At 47.0% G+C, this 20,382-nt stretch overlaps 2 long non-coding RNA genes across 2 annotated transcripts, besides 5 other annotated features; one reads left to right on the top strand and one right to left on the bottom strand.

The window, feature by feature from the left end:
• Positions 1-1,169: 1,169 nt before the first annotated feature.
• On the bottom strand, positions 1,170-19,608 carry LINC02898 (long intergenic non-protein coding RNA 2898). Its single transcript, NR_161189.1, has 4 exons — positions 19,529-19,608; positions 18,790-19,110; positions 13,297-13,373; positions 1,170-4,415 (listed from the first exon to the last, which is right to left on the bottom strand). It is a non-coding gene; the product is annotated as a long intergenic non-protein coding RNA 2898 (long non-coding RNA).
• Positions 3,110-18,851, top strand: LOC124905996 (uncharacterized). The gene is made up of 3 exons (XR_007086296.1): positions 3,110-3,189; positions 4,343-4,440; positions 18,413-18,851. It is a non-coding gene; the product is annotated as an uncharacterized LOC124905996 (long non-coding RNA).
• Positions 3,113-3,707: an enhancer, noted in NCBI's record as "OCT4-NANOG-H3K27ac hESC enhancer chr2:42164451-42165045 (GRCh37/hg19 assembly coordinates)". NCBI's record gives its function as "activates a minimal SCP1, AML or CMV promoter by ChIP-STARR-seq in primed H9 embryonic stem cells {active_cell/tissue: H9 hESC(primed)}" and the evidence as "EXISTENCE:reporter gene assay evidence [ECO:0000049][PMID:30033119]".
• Positions 4,171-4,465: a silencer, noted in NCBI's record as "tiled region #382; HepG2 Repressive non-DNase unmatched - State 21:Repr, and K562 Repressive non-DNase unmatched - State 23:Low". NCBI's record gives its function as "represses a minimal TATA promoter and a strong SV40 promoter by Sharpr-MPRA in HepG2 and K562 cells {active_cell/tissue: HepG2 | K562}" and the evidence as "EXISTENCE:reporter gene assay evidence [ECO:0000049][PMID:27701403]".
• Positions 5,490-6,084: an enhancer, noted in NCBI's record as "H3K4me1 hESC enhancer chr2:42166828-42167422 (GRCh37/hg19 assembly coordinates)". NCBI's record gives its function as "activates a minimal SCP1, AML or CMV promoter by ChIP-STARR-seq in primed H9 embryonic stem cells {active_cell/tissue: H9 hESC(primed)}" and the evidence as "EXISTENCE:reporter gene assay evidence [ECO:0000049][PMID:30033119]".
• Positions 14,160-14,810: an enhancer, noted in NCBI's record as "OCT4-NANOG-H3K27ac-H3K4me1 hESC enhancer chr2:42175498-42176148 (GRCh37/hg19 assembly coordinates)". NCBI's record gives its function as "activates a minimal SCP1, AML or CMV promoter by ChIP-STARR-seq in naive H9 embryonic stem cells {active_cell/tissue: H9 hESC(naive)}" and the evidence as "EXISTENCE:reporter gene assay evidence [ECO:0000049][PMID:30033119]".
• Positions 19,344-19,483: an enhancer, noted in NCBI's record as "active region_15628". NCBI's record gives its function as "activates an Ori minimal core promoter by ATAC-STARR-seq in GM12878 lymphoblastoid cells {active_cell/tissue: GM12878}" and the evidence as "EXISTENCE:reporter gene assay evidence [ECO:0000049][PMID:35858748]".
• Positions 19,609-20,382: the final 774 nt, after the last annotated feature.

The raw sequence follows: 20,382 nt of genomic DNA on the forward strand, positions 1-20,382 counted from the left end.
GAAGAGAGTATGCAGATGATTCATCTTCTCTGAAAAAACTACCCATTTTTGCCTTGATATCCATGCCAAAAATCTCCTGAGATGGGGCTCAGAGAGGACAGAGTGGGGGAGTCCTGTTACAATAGGAGACCACTGTCTCAGTTTCCAAATGAAAAAGATGACACACTGTTCTTGGGACACTGCTTTGCCAGGGTGTCCTGCAGAAACCAAGGAAGCTTCCATCTCAGAGCCACTGTGGACACAGCCTTGGATCACCGTGGAGCCTCAGACCACACTGACTCCTCCCTGTCTCCGCGTCTAACCCCCTCTCACACTGAGAGATCTGACCCACCACAGACATCCCCTCTGGCCTCCTGAGTGGTTTCTTCAGCACAGCTTCCAGAGCCAAATTAAACGTTCACTCTATGTCTATAGACAAAAAGGGTTTTGACTAAACTCTGTGTTTTAGAGAGGGAGTTAAATGCTGTTAACTTTTTAGGGGTGGGCGAGAGGGATGACAAATAACAACTTGTCTGAATGTTTTACATTTCTCCCCACTGCCTCAAGAAGGTTCACAACGAGGTCATCCATGATAAGGAGTAAGACCTCCCAGCCGGACTGTCCCTCGGCCCCCAGAGGACACTCCACAGAGATATGCTAACTGGACTTGGAGACTGGCTCACACTCCAGAGAAAAGCATGGAGCACGAGCGCACAGAGCAGGGCCAAGGTCCCAGGGACAGAATGTCTAGGAGGGAGATTGGGGTGAGGGTAATCTGATGCAATTACTGTGGCAGCTCAACATTCAAGGGAGGGGGAAGAAAGAAACAGTCCCTGTCAAGTAAGTTGTGCAGCAGAGATGGTAAGCTCCAAAATTTGAAACTTTGGCTGCTGGAAAGTTTTAGGGGGCAGAGATAAGAAGACATAAGAGACTTTGAGGGTTTACTACACACTAGACGCTCTATGCATTTATTTATTTATTATCTCTTATTTATTACTTTGTATAACTCTTATAATAATCTTATGAAAACGGAAACCCTCATATACCCATTTTACAGATGAGAAAAGTGACAATTTTGAGAGCATAGCTAAGAATAGCTAGTAAGTAAAGGAGCTGGGACCTAAACCAAACCCTATCTCACCAGAGTACACACTCTTTTTTTTTTTCCAGTGTAATTTTTTTTAATTTTTATTTTACTTTAAGTTCTGGGATACATGTGCAGAAGGTATGGTTTGTTACATAGGTATATGTGTGCCATAGTGGATTGCTGCACCTATCAACCCGTCATCTAGGTTTAAGCCCCACATGCATTAGCTATTTGTCCTGATGCTCTCCCTCCCCTCCCCACACCAGACAGGCCTTGGTGTGTGATGTTCCCCTCCCTGTGTCCATGTGTTCTCACTGTTCAGCTCCCACTTATGAGTGAGAACGTGTGGTATTTGGTTTTCTGTTCCTGTGTTAGTTTGCTGAGGATGATGGCTTCCAGCTTCATCCATGTCCCTGCAAAGGACACGATCTCATTCCTTCTTAGGGCTGCATAGTATTCCATGGTATATATGTACAATATTTTCTTCATCCAGTCTATCATTGATGGGCATTTGGGTTGGTTCCATGTCTTTGCTATTGTAAATAGGAGTGTACACTCTTGACCACTACACTGGAGCAACAGGCCCTAGAAATAGTGACCATATTCATTAACCAATTAGAAACTAGTATGTGGAGGGTATTGGGAGGAGGCTTAAGACTCTGAAAGATAGTCTGGCTTCATTTTAACCAGGGAATTAATCATCCATTCCATGCAGCATCATTTTCAGAAAAGGCATTCCCTGCTGCTCACCCTAAGTGTTTGTATTCTATAGCTAGATAGGCCAGTGTATAACCACTCCTTTTTTCAACACTTCTTCCAACAAAAACAAAACAGAGCATGGCGAGCTGAGCTTATTATACTCCTTACCACGGGCCTCTGATGTTCCATCTGTTAGTAGGATACCAATCCATGGCTCCTCACTTTCTAGGAGTCTCAGAGGAGACAGTAGGCCCTGGAGACACCCATGATACAAAACCAGAGCGAGATGAAGACGCTCCACTCACCTCTCCCCTCATTCTTGCCCAGAAAATTTGCTCTATCTTCCCCATTTTTTACCCTGCCCACATTACCCACCACAATTAGACAAAAGGCCTCAAGAAGTCTGCAGAGGGGCAGGATGAGGGCAGGGGTCAGCTTTCCTCTTTCAGTTGTTTTCTGATTACTTTAGACTTGGTCCAGCCAGGAAGAATCCGTCACTCTCAGCAGGCAGTGGGTGGGGAGAGGTACCAGCAGACTTAGAAGTATATATGGAATGTATTAAACCGTGGTGCAAAAAGAAAGGCCTGAGAAGCTAAACCAAAGAGGGAGATGCAGTTGCACAAAGTTAGGGGATTGAAAGAGCCCCCAAGGTAACAGAAGGTGCAACATAGTAAGAATTTTAAGAGGTGATAAAGGTAACTTGCTGTCAAAAGAGGCAGATATTACTAAAGAAACAAGTGAAATTGATTCCTTTCTCAAGCCACCATAAAGGTGAATGGCTACCAGATGGTCAGACAGAAATACCTGTCCACAGGCTGCCGGAGAGAAAAATAAATGCAAGAAGAAATCAGATCCTCCTCTGAGCAGGTGAGCAGGAAATTAAAATATCTGTACACTGACCACAAAGTAAGACCACACATGGTCATGAAGAGGCTGTTCGGAAGACAGCAAGAGTGTAAGTTAGCGTCTATCCTGTCTGCTGGCCCACACCCAGAGAGCCTAGTCACAAACCTCCCAGTGTCAGAGGAAAAAGCCTTTGCTGAAAACCCAGCAGTGCCAACAGGAATAAAGATGGGACAGCAGAGACCCAGGCCACTATGGGAAAACCTAGATCACATCCTAGAAGAGTCACTGGTCCAAGTAACAATTCCTTGAGCACTTGCTATGTGCCAGGCCCTTGGCCGGGAGCTCTTGAAGTGTTTTTCTAAGTGTAGGCAGTTTCCGAAATGGCTCTCAGTGATTCTTGCCTCCCATGTAATCCCTTCCTCTAAGCGTGGGCTGGACTTAGGGACTTGGTTCTAATGAATAGAATATGTTAAGAGTGATGGGTTGTCACTTATTCCCATCAAAAAATCTCCCTGGATTTGTGCTTCATAGACTCCCATCTCTCCACTCCAGACATGCCTTTCAGATTCTGGGCATCGGTGAGTAAATCTTCTTCCTCTCTTTGAATAATCATCTCTTCTGTGGGCTTGTTGCTACATTTCTCCCAGAAGACACACACGTACACACACGTACACACACACACACACACACACACACACACACAGCATGCAAGCACACCATTACACCAGGAGGAGGAGGGAGCTCAGCCTCCTCTTGCCATTGTCCTGCTCCTTCCCAATCAATCTCCTGCCAACCACAAATTAGCATTACACAGGCATTTACAGTGCAGCCTCCAGGGATAGATAGAAGCTGCTAATCCTTAAGAAGGGGAGCTGGTACAATAGCAAGTGGCCTGTAGCCTCATCCCCGCTCATGGGGTGTTCCTGTGAAGCACATCTTGCTCCTTTGTGAGCTGGCCAAGTCAACCACAGATGGTGGAGTCACTGGGCCTTGGGCAAAGAGGCGACACTGGAAATCTAAGGAGCACCAAGCTTTGCAAATGCCTGCATGACACACTGTTCGATGACTCTATTTATCCCCAGCAGATGATCCCTTTGGGATAGATTCCTTCTCAGAGCTTCCAGCCTGGTCTTTTGTCAGTGCACCCTTCCATTTTCCATTTCTACTGGTTAACATTAATGAATGGCTCCAACTGGGACCAATCCAGCGCATGAAATCCCCTGGGGGGTCAAGTCTGTACTTCCCACCCTCTCAGCAACTTGGATTAACAAAGCTGGGGTTTGTTTTGTTTTATTTTTCTTAAGGGATTGATTTGGCCCTCTGAAGTATGATTGAAAATCCCTGATCCCAAAGGAAGGCAGCCCTGGCTGGGTTCCCAGGGTCGTTTCTATCCCCAGGCATGGTCTTCAGGGACCCCAGGGGCCTCTGATTGCAACTCTGCCTGCTGAAATCCCAAGAGCTGGCTCTTGCAGCAGCCTCCTCTGAGGCTCCCTGCTCAGCTCCTGGGCCCTTATCCTGCAGCTGGGTCTGGAAACCAGAGGAGCTTGCAAGAGGCGAAGCCTCTTATCACAAACATTTCCTGCCTATTCCCGCCTGACCCCGCATACCATAGCCCTTCCCTGGCTAGTTGGGCCACCAACGCAGCCCTCACACAAACGACTTGAAAGGCAGGGTCCCCAGACTCCTCTCTACTCCAGATTCTTCTCCATCCACACTGTCTCCTTTCTCCAGGGAGCTCACAGGCTCTTCCAGGCCACCCAAATGGTTCAGTCGCTGAAAAGCATGGAAGGAATTCAGGTGGAACCTGCAAGAAAGAGGACAAAAGGCAGGTAGGATTTCTAGTTCAAATAGAAGGTATGACTCACAGCTGGAGTTGGGCCCACCTCCCCGAGGACTCCACTGTGCTATCTCTGACAAAGAGATGGAGACAGAGTTGAGAGAAAGGCCTGCACACCTGTGCGTGTGTGTGTGTGTGTGCATGTCCCTGGCATCCCCATATTGTGGCCTCCCCTTGTTGTGCTGCAAGTGGGGCTGAAGCCGTATGGACTATTGATGGTGTGTGCTGAAGGACCAGGAGCCAGGGCCAGAGGGTCTAGCCAGCCCAACCCAGCTGTGCTCAGCAGGTCACTGAATTCCACAGCCTCTCTCCCCTCCCCACACCTGGGGCACCCTAGTCCCACCCCTTCCCCCAGCCTACACTGGCCTTCTCTCTGCCTCCTGCCCCCAGCTCACTGTGTGGTCCAAGCCCTCTGCCACAAGAAGAGCCAGGGAGGGAGGGATGGGCCTGCGTGTTTACAGTCAAGCATAACTGAGCCTTTATTTTAAATAAATAAAACTTTAGCTAGTTTTTATTTTCCCTTTCTTTCCAAAAGCAGTTTTGTCCCTCCTCCTCTTCCTCATCATCATCATGGCTAAGCCTTTATCTGTGGGGCCACCCAGGGAGGGGCTGTGGGAGGAGGGAGGAACAGAGGCCAGACTGACCCTGATGTTTCACATCTTCTCAAGCCGTGTGAAGTTCTCTCTCTCTCTCTCTCTCTCTCTCTCTCTCTCTCTCTCTCTCATCCTCACAGAGCCCCAAAGTTCTTATGAATTCAGGGATGTCCAGGCCTGAGGAATAGAGACTAAACAGGAAGCCCGGGCTTCGTCGTCAGCATGTTGTCCATCTGTTCTCCCCCAATCACAGGGTTGCCCACCCCCCATATAAAACTGCCATCCATCTGCCTTCCTGTTTGGTCTGTCATCTCTCTGTCTCCCCTGTTGGACCCTCATCCATCTGTCCTTCCTATGGGACACCATCTTTCAAGGTCTCTTTTGGGTTGTCATAAATCCGCCTTCCCCATGGGATGTTCCATCTGCCTGTTACCCCATTGACCTGTCATTCCATCCGATCCCCTTGATCACTCTTTTTTGTCCATCTGTCTCCTCCCATAGGACTTACTTTTGCCCATCTGTCTCCCTGAATGGGGCCAGCAATGGTGAGTCTCTGAGGCATGGGAAGAGTTGGGATTCTCTTCTGGTTTTGATCCCAGCAACCACAATAGTAGCTACCATCAATCAAGTGTCTACGTGCCATACAGTCTACATACATTATTCCCTTTTGCCCTCCAACAGCCCTGTATGTGCTTATTTCCCTATTTTACCAGAAGGAAACTGAGGCTCAGAAGGGTTAAGTGTCTGGCCCAAGGTCACACAGCTCCTAATGGGAGACACAGGGTAAAAAACCAGCTCTGCCCGTATGGAGTGGGGGTGAGGACACAGTCTTACTCCACCCCCAGAATGTAAGACTCCCCTTCCCCTGGCCTCTCTGCACATTTAATTTACACTTTGCTGCTGGATGTTTTCAGACTGATGAAGTTTCCTCCCTGCCCTGGCTGTGCACAAAAAAGTGAGAGAAGAAAAGCAGCCAGATGTGAGAGCATTTTGAAGGTCTTTTTGGGGGGATGGAGAGTGATGTTAAATAAACATCCAATGGTATTCTTTCTGCAAAACGATCCATTTTCATGGCACCCAGGAGTTCGTCCAAGGGTCTCTGGGTCACTGGGGAAAAGTATTCCGTGTGTTTTGGCTCCATATACTTCTATTGGCCACAAAGAGCTAATTCTTCCAATTAATGAAATCAGCACCACTGATGGAGATGTACTGACAAATTATTTTCAAGATGAATATATTAACACCCATGGTGGAACTGATTGGCCTGAAGGATTTGGAGGCTACAGAATGAAGGTCCCCCTGCCCACCGAAGACACTGAGGTCATTCACGGTGGCCGGGATGTTGGCCACCACCTCAAGGGACGCCTCTCTCCGCTGGAGCCATGGAGACTGGACTGGGTTGTCTGTGTGGAAGGGCTGCCTATCAATGGGCTTCTGTATGGCCTCAGCAGGTCCCCAGCACCCCCCACCCCCCACTGCCCCAGCTAAGTCCCCTTCAGGGCCTGGTCTGAAGGGCCTATTCAGCATTTAGGACTCCCTGATGGGAAGTAAAAGAGAGACAGACAGATGCTTCCGTGGAGCTGGGGAAAAGCTAGAAGCCTGGAGACAGGAAGGGAAGCTTGAAGCCACCAGGAAGGAGCCCAGAGAGAAGAAAAAAGGCAGGCCGGAGGTCCTATAGGATAAGAAAGAGAAGAGGAGGAGGAGGGGAGGCCGTGGGAGGGAAGACAGCGGGTGGGAGAACCAGAGGAGGGGGAGGAGGCCGGAAGGAGGCCTCCGGGCCAAGGGAGAGATCCCAGTTGGGAGACAGACCAGAGCCAGAAAGCAGTGTGGGATTTTTAAGCCACAGATTTAATTTCCTGATGATATTTTTTTCAGGCTGATATTAGCAGCATTTTTCATTCCCCAAGCAGATCTGCCAATCGTGAAAAAGTGATCCAGAGTGAGCTGGGTGATGGGCCAGTTTGAACCTGAACAGACCCATCAGGATAGCCCAAAGTCAAGGCAATATGTCCTCTCTTTTTCTAACCACTAGAGACTAAGGACAAATTTTGCTTCTGGCTGGTCTTGGAGGAGAGAGAAAGAACAGTTTCTAGGCAGCTCTGGTGAATAAATGACAATCCAAATTCAAGGGCTAAATGATCTCTGTTAATCATCTCTTTGGTTTCTGTTTTCCTGTGTGGACCCTGACTGAATCAGTATTCTGAGCTTTGAGAGTTGTAAGTTAGGAGCTAAAGAAACCGGCCGGGCGCGGTGGCTCACGCCTGTAATCCCAGCACTTTGGGAGGTCGAGGCGGGCAGATCACGAGGTCAGGAGATCGAGACCATGGTGAAACCCCGTCTCTACTAAAAATACAAAAGATTAGCCAGTGACAGTGGCAGGAGCCTGTAGTCCCAGCTACTCGGGAGGCTGAGGCAAGAGAATGGCGTGAACCTGGTAGGCAGAGCTTGTAGTGAGCCGAGATCACGCCACTGCACTCCAGCCTGGGCAACAGAGCGAGACTCCGTCTCAAAAAAAAAAAAAAAGAAACCAAAGCCCAACTTTCTCCAGGGCATCTTATACCACTACCACCAAGCCATCTTTCTAAAGCCTTATTTTCCTGCTTTAAAATCCATCTGTGCAGCCCTTTGCTTACCAAATAAAGTCTACACCCTTGAGCCAGAAAAGCAAAGCCCTCTAGAACCCAGCTGCTCCAAGTGTGGTCCAAGACCAGCTGCCTTGGCATCACCAGGGTCCACGCCATGGACCTGCTGAATCACCAGGCAACCCTTGTGCGGTGACAGCACAAGAAGCCCTGCTCCTTACCACTTCCGGCCCACTCCAGATAATCTCCTGCTGCTGCCATGGAGGAGGGCTGCTTCCCCAGCAAACTGGAAGTATAAAAGTCTTCAAATATACCTTTCACTTATCCAGTTCTGAGTGCTGGTTCCTGACTTTCCTTCATCTTAAAGATGCTTCCCCTTGTACCCCCTTGAGAAAATCTCACCCACATTTTAAGACCCAACTCAAATGCCATCTCTTCCAAGGATCCTCCCCTTCTCACTGTCCCCTTTCCTTGCCAGAGTCTAGAACTTCTAAGGCAGTTTGTTTGAGTCTCCCTTGGAGTGCTTTCTACCTTCTGTCTTGCATTTTGATTACTCATGTACTTATCAAGGGGCAGCATTGTGTAGTGTTTTGCAGTGTTTCCTGGGTTCAAATCCTTGTCCCATGGCTTCCTAACTATGACACCAAACAAGTGCTTAATCTCTTTGCACCTCAGTCTTCTCATCTGTAAAATGGGAGTAATAATGATACCTACTCATAGAGTTGCTGTAAGGATTTTAAAAATATATTTATTGAATACCTATGTGCCAAGCAATGGAGATACAAATGTGACCAAAACCATATAGTTCTGTTCTCATAGTGGATTATAGTGCTTGTAAAGTGTTTAAAACATAGGGAGTGCTCAGTAAATTTTAGCTATTATTATGCCTTATCACATTCACCATACCACGGGCATTTGTGTAAGGCAGGGAGCATGCTTTACGTCTCTATAAAGATACGTAGGTGTTATAGCCGCAACATCTAACACAGAGCTTGGCATACAGTGTGCGCTCAAAAAGTGATTGTCAACTGACTGAGATGACCCAAAGAACAATGTTCTTAATTGCACAGGAAATGAGAGCTGTCATGCCTAAAACTCAGAGCTTACCCAACATGGCAGTCTTCCCAAGGCTGACTGTTTTGTGCCCCTTTTCCTAGAACCATAATTTGTTTAATCAATGATTGCTGTTGTTTTTCTAATAATCATTGGTTAAAAGTTCTATTTCCTCAGTGTGGTTTCCATGCTGTTCCCTTATTGGTTTCTTTCTGTGTCCCACTCCCTGCTTCCCCTCTGAAAGCTCAATGTTATGTTTTGGGCTGGGTTTTTAGGGGAGCATGTGAAATATTTCAACTGGACATAGTATTTATTTTATTTTTAACTTCTTTGTATAACTTAATCAATTGTCTCATTAACATTCTTTTGACTCCCCCAAAAAATGGTTTCTTAAAATTCTTATTCTGTGTTTTCATCTCCAGGGGAACACTTTGGCTAGGTTTTCTACCAAGAATGACACAATTCTTTCCATAGCTAATAGAGGTGGAATTTGAAAAACAAGACAGTTGTATTGGTCCAGCTCTATTGCCTTAGTCCTATGCCCCAAAGAATTCTTCATACACGCAAGCCCCCAACTCTCCCACTGGCCACATTTCCCAATGCTGCCTTTATTAAAAATGTTCTCTTTCTGGTTAAATCCTAATGGAAAGTGAAATAAACACAATTTAAAAAGCTCTTTCAAGATGAGGGTCATTCCAGAGTCCAGTTGCCTTGAATTACTACGATCCCTGACATATCACTGTTTCCTTCAGACTCAGTTGTCGTATTCTTTTTATTTCAATCAATAAGCATTTTAAATTTCCTTTCACATTTCCTTGTGGTGACCTGGTTTGGTTTATTTCTCCTTTCGTTTTTTCAAGATGGGGTCTCACTCTGTCACCCAGACTGGAGTACAGTGGCGCAATCATAGCTCACTGCAGCCTTGAATCCTGAGGTCAAGCGATCCTCCCACCTCAGCCATTCAAGCAGTTGGGATTGCAGGTGCAGACCACCATGCCTGCTTCTTGTTTGGTTTAGAGGCAATTCAAATATCATATGTCTCCTATGGTTCTGTCCCATCTACAATGTGCATGTCTTTTTTATTATCCACAGGCAAAATATTATTCAGTGCAAAGCTCCTTCCACCCTGATAGAAAAAGATTTTCCCCTGCATTGTCTTAGCTTTAAGAAAGGGAGAAAAAGACAAGTAAAGTCACTTGTTTGGGATTTCAAGGAACTGGGAAAAAATGGAACCTCCGGCAAGTGGGAATGTGATCTACATGGGAAAATCTCTGAGAAGACACCTGCTCTTCCACTGGTCTTTGTCTCTGAGGCTCCTGGAGCTGCAGCCTCATAGGAGTGGCTTCTTGTTGGAAACTGGGGCAAAAAAAGCACAGCATTGGTAAGGACAGAGGGCTCTGTCGGTGGAAAAAGGACAATCAGTGAACTTTTGAGCCCAGGAGCAGGGCAAGGCTTCCAATGTGAGCTAGACGTCTGGAAACTCAATCTCAACTAGAGTATCAGTTACCTCACAGACTCAGACCCTCTCCTGCATAAAGGGCGGCAGTAGCCGGGCGGGCCTCTGACATGAAACTCTCTGTTCACTTCTTAATTAACTCTAAGAAATGTACCTCAGAGTCTCTTAGAAAGGGAAATTGTTCTGCCCGGTAGAAGGACAGAGGTGACATCAAGATAAGAGTTTGAGTATGACAAAAATATCAAGAGCTTCCCAAGTCTGCCTTGGCCCAGAGAATTAAACATCCGTGGGGTCACCCTTTAGATCATGGGACCATTGCTCCCTGCCAAATTTCTGCTCACGGCTTGTTTTCCAAAGAGAGTCATAAGAGCTACCCTCGCCCTGCCTACTGTTTTGGTATCAAACACCCTTGGTACTCAAGCATGAAAATATGAGGAACTCTCAGATCCTGATTCTACACACTTTGGTAATTCCAGATATGCACCTGAATTACAGAATCCTATTTAACATCTGGGTGTGAATTCTCTCCCCATTCACTCTGAGCCTGCCACCAGACTAGCCCTCTCTAAGCCTTCATTCATGTATTCTCCATCAGCATTTAGTATAAAACTACCAGTATGCTTGACACTACTCTAGGGACTTGAGGTACAAACAGGCCCAAGACATGATCTATGCCCTCAAAGGGTTTATTTTCTAGCAGGGAATACAAATGTATGGATTAATAATAGCAGCTACTGTTTATTAAGCCCTTATGAAATGCTTTTTCTTTTAGTGACAACATCTCACTATGTTACCCAAGCTGGAGAGCAATGACCATGATCATAGCTCACTATAGCCTCAAACTGCTTGGCTCAAGCAACACTCCTGCGTCAGCCTCTTGGGTAGCTGGGACTACAGGCACACACCACTGCACCCTGCATATGATATGCTTTTGATAAACATCGAGCTAAGTAGTTGTAGTAGACAGCCTCTAAAATAGGCCATAATGATCTTCTCCTGAAATTCACATGCTTGTGTAGCACCCTTCCACATTGACTAGGGCTGGTATAAATAATAGGATCTATGGAAATAACAGTACATGACCTCTGAGGCCAGGACATAAATGATAATGCAGCTTCCACCTAGGTCTCTCTTGGATCATTCACTCTAGGGGACTCCAGATGCTATGTGGTAAAGACACTTAGGAAGCCCTATCCTGTGGGAAGGTCCACATGGAGAGGAACTGAGGCTGCCCACCAATAGCCAGCGAGGAATTGAAACCTTCTGCCCATAGCCATATCATTGAGTCATCTTGGAAACAGTGCCTCCAGCCACAGACAAGCCTTCAGATGACTGTAGTCCCATCTAACATTGCAACTGCATCCTCATGAGAAACCTCAAGGCAGAACCACCCAGCTAAGCGGCTCCCAAATTCCTGACCCACAGACAGGAAACAGTGTTTATTGTTGGTTTAAGCCACTAGATTTGAGGGTAATTTGCCATGCAGCAATAGATAACTAATACAGTGCTTTGCATTCATTTTCTATTGACTCTTCATGCCAGTCCTAGTGGGTATTTATTATTATCCCAACTTTACAAATGAGGACACTGAGATTTAGAAAGGTTATAGTAAGAGGCAAAGTCACAGCTAAATAGCTAAGTCTTCTGAACTTCAAGCTCTGTGACCTTAACCTCTATGTAATAAAATGATTTTGGTGCAAATGCAGAAGTCTGTACAGGGAAAAAAAGGTCACAGTGGGAGTAGTGAGCTCTACCTGGGAAGTCTGGAACTGGAGGGGAGGAGGAGACAGGGAAGACTTGTTAGAGGATATCAGACTTGCAATGAAAAGGAAGGATGAGCAGATGTTCACCAGGTGGGCAGCAAGGAAAAGGATTCCAGATGGAGGAGCAACATGAGCAGGGGCACGGAGGCACCAAACAGCCTGTGTTCAGAACCTCTGGAGTTTCCAGACCTGGAAGAACTGAGGCCTTGTGGCTTGTACATAAGGGGATACTCTTGGTTCTTGCCCAAGGTTTATTCTTGCAGTCACAGGACAGAACCCTGTGCCCGCCAAATAGTTAGCACCTTTCCTACAAACTACTGTCCCAATCTCTTCTCTTGATTAACTTAAATCCCCATTCGTTCCCCATTTCTTTCCTAGGTCAGTTCTTTTTTTCTTTTTTTTCTTTTTTTTCTTTTCTTTTTTTTTTTTTTTTTTTTTTTTTTGAGACGGAGTCTCACTCTGTCACCAGGCTGGAGGACAGTGGTGTGATCTCGGCTCACTGCAACCTCTGCCTCCTGGGTTCAAGCGATTCTCTTGTCTCAGCCTCCCAAGTAGCTGGAACTACAGGCACGTGCCACCACACCCAGCTAATTTTTTTATTTTTAGTAGAGATGGGGTTTCACCATGTTGGCCAGGATGGTCTCGATCTCTTGACCTTGTGATCCGCCCGCCTTGGCCTCCCAAAGTGCTGGGATTACAGGGATGAGCCACTGCGCCTGGCCGGTCAGTTCTCTTTTAAAGACCCAGCTTTCTGGCATCCCCATCATGCATACCACTGTTCTTCTTGGCAGGCAACTCTTGCTCCTTACAAAAATGCGGTTATGATGCTTATACTTGAATTCACATCTCTTATCTACTGCAAAATACCATGTAAACTTTACTTTCTTCTTTAGCAGGGTCACAAGAATGGCAAATTAGGGAGATTCATGGGACCAAGTGTATTGGATTATAGAAAGGTGCTTTTAACTTTTATTAGGTTAGTGTAAAAGTAATTGCGGTTTTTGCCATTATTTTCATTGAAAATAAACAATTACTTTTGCACCAACTAATACCTTTTCTCATAGCAGCCTTCTGGATCCTTGGTGGATTATAAATTAGAGACGCACAATATAAGGAATTAGTAGTTGGTTTAATAACAGTATCCACACCCCAAAAATATTAAACATGGGTTGATGTCAAGGTCTAGAGGACAATCTATATTGGCATGACCAATAGTTCTGCCCTCAGCCCTCTCCCAGGCAACATCGTTTAAACCCATAACTTGAATGAAGATATAGAAAGCAGGTTTACTAAATTACCTAATGGTTGAAAGGGGTAGGTAGCAACCGCATGAGATGGCAGAACTAAAACTATGTCTCCCAAAAGGCTAACATGGGTCAAGTCTTACCAAGACATCTTTACCTGACATGTAAACTCCTTTACTTGAGTTCCAAAAGTAACTGCACAAATACACAATGAAGGTTTCTGACTCAGGGTAACTGTAAAAGGGAAGAACATTAAAGAGTTTTAGCTCTAGTTGAATGAAAGCAAAGACACAACCTGCACTAGGGGAGAGGACGAGGGACAGTTGGATTCTGAGGGTTTACTACTGAGATTCGACAGCCTCACCACCAACCCCGGGCTGTATTTAGTAACTCACACTCTACTCCATTAAATGTGTTTGGGTTTCCAGCCCCCTCCCCGTGGCCCTCACCCCAGACTGAGCCAGGAGCCCTTAGAAGGTAATGAGAACACTGAGAGCTTGGGAGTCTGGGAAGAGCTTGGAAACGAGAGCGCTCAGAGCCTCTCCCAGCGCGGCCCTATCCCTGCTGATAAGGCTGAGAGCAAAGCTGGCTGACAAGTGATTGGAAACAGGAGTTCCCAAACCCTTTAACTCTTTCCTACCCTGCTCGTGTGCTGGAGTCTCCATCTCCCGTGGCTTTCCCCTCTCTGTATCAGGGCTCTCTGCTCCCCCTACCAGGCTTTCCATCTACTCCTCCTTTTGTCCTGATGCACACTGAACGCTGTCCTTCTGCCTGAAAAGCAGTCACTTCCACCACCAAAGATGCAAGCTGCCCAGAGCAGTCAGCCAGTCCCTCTGGTCCAGACCCTACCAAGCTCACTTAAACGACCACATCCGTGCTTGTCCAGAGCTGCTGTTCAGCAAGCAGCAGGAACCTACCAGGGGAATGTTGGTCCTGTTTGGTGTTTGGGGTTTCTGGGAGTGGAGACCCCAGGAAAAGTCTCAGTAGCCTAAGTCCAGAGCCATTCTCAGCTGCCCCTGCTGGCTGGGGAACCCTATCAAAGGACTTCAGGGGTCACCCCCTTAAGCCAGACCTGATTTTGCTGGGTGATCCTAAAGGCCATCCAGTCACTTAGATATTGCCTGCTTCACGGACAGGCCTCTTATAGGCATAGATGACGAGGGGTCTGTCCGTGACAGTGGCCAGCATGACTGAAGCTAAGAGGTAAGCTTCCCTCCTTGCCCTGGGGAGGGGCATTAAGGAAAAGCCAGGCTTAAGAGCCACAGTAATTAAGTGTAAAAGAAGCTTCCTTCAGTAGAATGGAATTCACATAAACTGCCATTATCATGCAAAGCAGCTTTGCACCTAAAAGCCCTTACTCAAACAGGCAGTTTAATTAAATCCCTAATCTCCTCTGGCCTATTTGACCCCTTCTCTCCTCCTCTTATCCCCTTACCACCCCAACCCCCTGCCTCAGCCCCACTCTCACCTTCAAGATTCCATTTAAAACACCCCACCTGTAAGTGTGCAAAATCTACCCAAAAAAAGGTGGGTCTGGGGTCCTCTTTAGGGTTTGGTTGCTGTGTCTTAGGGGTTAGCTCCCTGAGGCTCAGACAGCTCTGACTTGGGTGCTAGATGCTAGCAGCAAGGGTGAGCATGATGGTGGTGATTCCCACAATGGCCATGGTCAAATGAAGTCAGGGGAGTCAGCATCACACTCCCACCCACTGGTTCCTGCTCAGCCGCAGGAAGCTGATGCCCATTTATAACCCACCCCATGCCATGAAAAGTCTGCAGTCTCCCTCTCCATAGTAAGTGTGAAGAAGCCCTAACAGGCTTGGATGTTAGGACCCTGCTGTTAAACCAGAAGAGACAGGGATGGAGAAATTGACCTGTCTGTGGGCATCTCCATTTCTGAGGCTGCACTGGCGGCTGCTATGAAGCCTAGGAGGGATGCTAAACCTGTTAGTGAGATTTGCAGGCAAAAGCCTGGAGCTATGATTTGGAGTTCAGACTACCTGCTGTAGGCAGGGGGAGAGGTTAAGAGAAGGAAGACTGGAATGGGGTGGGAGGGTGACGAGGCTGAAGTGCACTGATAAGAAAAACCTAATAGTACCTTCTGACGTCTGCAAAGTGTTTTAGAAGTTTGTGCCTTCATTCAGGAAAAGAAAGAAAGAAAATCACGTATAGAATGCCAGGCACCATGGCATGCTTCTCTCTTCAATTTGAACCTTGTAAAGTAAGTCTCCCTCCCTCCCCACTCCACACACAGGAGAAAAAAACTGTGATGCAAGGAGGTGAAGTGACTTTCCCAGTGGCACACAACTCATGACTGGCAGAGCGAGGATTCAAACACTGGCCTGCCTTCCTGAAAATCGATGCTCTTTCTGCTAAACCACAGATCACCCACAAGGATTACAATGTTGGAGCAGGGATTAACCACCCAAGAATACTCATGGCATCGTAGGCCAAACTCCATCTCTTCTCCCTCATGCAGCAAGAAAGTTTCCATCTCAAAACAAGCCATTTCCTCTGAGCAGGGGTCTCAGCAGGGATGAGAAAATCAGGCCCTCAGCCCTGTGGATGCAGGCCAAGGGAGCTGGGCTTGTGGAAGGCTTCTTGGGGTTCAAACCCAGGGGAATAAAGAGTCCCAGAGGAAACTTTTCTTTGCAGGAAAGAAGTGTCCAGGGCCGTGGTGGGGGAGGGGGCATCTGTAGGTCATATAACAAACACCAGACCTCTCCATTTTATACCTCATTCCTTTGGTGGGGGCAAGCAGTGGAGCCATCTCTATTTGGGAAACAGTGAAACTCAAATCACCATGAACCCTGCACTTTTTCTGTTAATTGTGTGAACTTCACTGTGCCTGGAGAATGCATGGACCTGCATTAGAGGAAGTTATATTTCTGGAATATTACATATATATCTGTGTAATATATCAATTATATGGAATATATATTTTGAATATATTATACATAATAATATATGGGAATATATATTATTCCCATATATTAGGAATATATAATATAATATAATCCTAATATATATTATAATGTATATCTTATATTTCCTTGCATTATGGGTTTTCTTTGCAAAGAGTAGATACCCTTTTGGGAGGTTCCAATAAATCTTATGAATAAATGACTGAAGCTGGCAGCACAATACCCAGCCCCTGAGGGAGCTCCTAAGCCTTTCAATTCTCCAGCCCTGAGCTGGTTCTGCCCAGCCGGCACTGTCAATTTGTGGCCACCTCGCTCCAAGCCAGGTATTTCCAAAGGTCGTGGACTTGGAATAACAGGTGCTACTGTTTTGACTTCAGAAAGACAGCCTGGGACCAAAGAATCCTCCATAGCTTCAGGGCTGATGTGGGTGCGTTAAGAAAGTAGGATTTTGGATGAGATCTGTTACAGGGTCCTTTGTCTCTCTTATAGCAAAGAAAACTGAGAAGAATTTTAAAAGGCTGCCTTGGTCTCCAGAATCCCTCTGGAAGCAGATGGCATGTCAACAGGTTCCAGGGCAGGCTCCAGAGGCCCCAGACCTGGGAGCCTTATTGGAATGTAATTAACCTAAGTGCTGTCTGTTAGGATGAAAAGGCAGGAATGCAATTATGGAAGGAGCATGAGGTGAGCTTTCATTGATTAACCTGTCCTGTCTGATTCCATTCCCTACTGAGGTGATTTTGGGGGCCCTGAGGGTTGCCTTGTGCCCTCAGGGTTATGAGAAAGGAAAACAGTCACTGCAGAAAGTGAATACCTAAAACAGAGTTCAGGATGCCTGTGTGGCCCCCCAAAATTGCCTGGAAAATGCACTTGTGCAAAATGTAAAATGTACATTTTCGAGGAAGAGGCCGGACACTCTTATCACTTGCTTGAAGGGGTCTGCAGCCCCCAAAGCGTTAAGAATCTCTGTGCTAGAGGAGCGAAAGCTCAGCACAGTTGCTAGAGTAGGACCTCAGGAAAAGTCCCTTCAGTTTTCAGCTCCAAATGGCCATCATCCATTTGGCTGATGCTAAGGCTAAGCAAGTCACTTAGCCTTTCTGTGCCTCAGTTTCATCTGTAAAATGAGGGACATCCCAGGGTTCATAAGATAATTGAATGATATGCAAATACAAAACTTTTTTTTTTTTTTTTGGACAGAGTCTCGCTCTGTCACCGAGGCTGGAGTGCAGTGGCGCGATCTCGGCTCACTGCAACCTCTGCCTCCTGAGTTCAAGTGATTCTCCTGCTTCAGCTTCCCAAGTAGCTAGGATTATAGGTGCCTGCCACGATGCCCGGCTAATTTTTGTATTTTTAGTAGAGACGGGTTTCACTATGTTGGCCAGGCTGGTCTCGAACTTCTGACATCAGGTGATCTGCCTGTCTTGGCCTCCCAAAGTACTGAGAATACAGGCGTGAGCCACCATGCCGGTCAGAATGCAAAACTCTGTTTATCCGTCTTGCTCTGTCACCAGGCTGGAGTGCAGTGGCATGATCTTGGCTCGCTGCAACCTCTGCCTCCCAAGTTCAAGCGATTCTCCCACCTTAGCCTCTTGAGTAGCTGGGATTGCAGGTGCCCACCAGCAGGTATGGCTAATTTTGGTATTTTTAGCAGAGACGGGGGTTTCACCATGTTGGCCAGGTTGGTCTCGAACTCCTGACCTCAGGTGATCTGCCCACCTCTGCCTCCCAAAGTGCTGGGATTACAGGCATGAGCCACTTTGCCCAGCCAAAACTCTTAACCCAACATCGAACACTTGGTAAGCACTCAATAAATGGAAGCCATTTTGATTATGATTATCAAAGTCTAGAACATAAAGTGGACTGTGTACATGCACTCTTTAGGAGCAGTCTTTTGGCCCCAAACTAGATTCTATGGGAATTCCCAGGTAAGATGCTTCTCCAAAATGAAGTGAAGCCATGTGACCCAGGGTCTTTAAACATTGCTTCCTCAAACCCTCCCCCAGTAGGGTACTTCTCCCCCAGAGGCATGGGGATCTGGCCACACTATAAGACAAACTTCTGGAAGTGGGGGCACATCAAGCGTCTGGGTGGTGCCAGTGCCTGGGCCTGAGCTAAAGTCTTCACCAGCCTGCCCCTTTTGGGGAAGCTTCTGACAATTTCGATTACCGAAATCTTCCTGCCTTTTGGGATAATACAGTCAAATGCTCCATTGAGACAGACTTCTGTATCTTTACAGGCCCTAGAATGAGACCAACCCAAGGCCCAGCATCTGCAGAATGTCCCGTGTAGAACCAGGAAGGAAAAACTAAACCACTCCTTTTCCCCTCTTCCCAACACACCCTTCTCTCCTCTCAGATCCTTGGAGTTCTCCGCACTCAGAACCTACAAGCTGCCCAGGGGTCTTCCAGACCAGCCCCAGTTGCTTCCAGCCTCCTTCCGCCAGCACATCTCTGCAGCCTTGGGCCACCGATCCTAAGCCAAAGCCTCCCCAACCTCTGGGCTCAGAAGCAGGTGTAATCCCAACTCCAGCAGGGAATTCCAGAGGTGAAGGTCACGGGAGCATCTTTAATCTTCGGTTCCCAGTAGAGAAGATACCCAAAGAGCAGGGAGCAGGAGCCAGCTCCAGGCTATACATTTGTTTATTCATCAATCATTCATTTATGCATTAATCATTCATTCCCCCCACCCATCAGTCATTCATCTGCTTATTTATTCATTCAATGTGTTTGTACCTTGTCCTTGCTTTGGTTACCGCAGATGTTGGTCCTCTCCTGCTTTGATCTGTCCCCTGTTTCTCTGGCAGCTGCACAGCAGAAGCCTTCTCATGTCCCTTGTTGGGTACTTGGCTGAGAGTGTGTCTCCCTCTCAGAGGTGCCTGAGGAAAATCAAAGGGACAGTGCAGAGCTGTCTGCTGCCTGCAAGTTCCCTTCCATTGCAAAATCCAGCCTTCTGGTCCGTAGGTCAGTGGGAGAGATTGGGAGGGGCTGCAGAGGGGTCTCCAGGCCCAATCGAGGAATAATGGTCTGGACATCCTCACCATGTGTGAGCTCTGGCTGTTTAAAAAATAAAAAAAATAAAAAAATAAATATACTGGTCCTTCTGGGAGAAAGGGGACTGCAGGAGACTCTAAGCCTCTGTGCCTGGTTCTGAGGCCTGAGCTCAGCACTTTGGCAGGCCCAGAGAACATGGTATGGGAAAACCTGGGGCTGGAGTTTCAGAGGCCTAAGCTGTGAGCCTTCTGACAGGTCTCCCACCTTCCATCCTTCCATCTACCTGACCCTGTAAAGTCTGTTCTCAGCCAGCAGCCAGAGATCCTTTAGTAAAAGACCACGTCCTGCCTGTGCTCAGAACCCTGCCCTGACTTTCAGTTCTCTCGGAGAAAAACCCAAGGCCCCACTTGATGGGGTCCCCCTCATCTCCCACTCACTCCCTCCATTCAGCCCCCACTGGCCCCATCCTTCCCGAACTCACCAGCCACACTCCAACCTTAGGGCTTTTGCTATAGTTGTTTCTTCTAGAACAGGCTTGACCTGGGTGACTTGCTTGAAAGTGACTCACTTTCTCACTTCCTTCAAGTCTTCGCTCAATTGAAACCTTCCCCATAAGCCTACCATGACCCATCCTATTTAAAACTGCAAAGCACACAGGCACGCGCGCACACACACACACACACACACACACACACACCACTCTCAACCCCCCTTCCTCTTTAGCACTCATCACCTTCTAACATAATACATAATTTACTTATTATTTTTACCATTTATTGTCTGTCTCTGCCTGCTCAAGTATAACTTCCAAAAGGGTAGGGGTCTTTGTATGTTTTCTTCCCTGATGTATCCCGAGGGTGGGCCATCCCATGGATGCCTGGTGTATAGCAGGAGCTAGTAAAACATTCCTTGGATGAAAGAATGAATGAGTGAATGGGCTGTAGGAAGCTCTGAGGATGAAGCTTGTGAAGCCACAGGCTGTGGAGTTTGGGGCTTCCTGGGGGTAGAATTTAGGAGGTCCACAGTGGCTTCTATCAGCTGTGCTGAGGAGAGAAGAGCCAGGCAAATTGCCCGCTGCCAGCCTTCTCGGGGAGGAAAGGTAGGCAGCAGCATCGGTGGGGATTGCGCTAACTCAAGGTGCCAGCTCCATGCTGCTCTGGGGCTGGCCAGCGCTCTGGATGTCATTAGCTGATTTGTTCTGCTCTGCAGAATGTACTTTTCATATTTAGGCAGAAAAAAACAGCTTTCGATCCTTGTGCCCTTTCTTCTGTGAGCTGTAGCACATGGCCTGCTAATTATGAATTAATCCTCTAAAGAGCATGTTCATTATTCTAA

This window comes from Homo sapiens, chromosome 2 (assembly GCF_000001405.40).
Source record: "Homo sapiens chromosome 2, GRCh38.p14 Primary Assembly".
NCBI classification, from domain to species: Eukaryota; Metazoa; Chordata; class Mammalia; order Primates; family Hominidae; genus Homo; species Homo sapiens.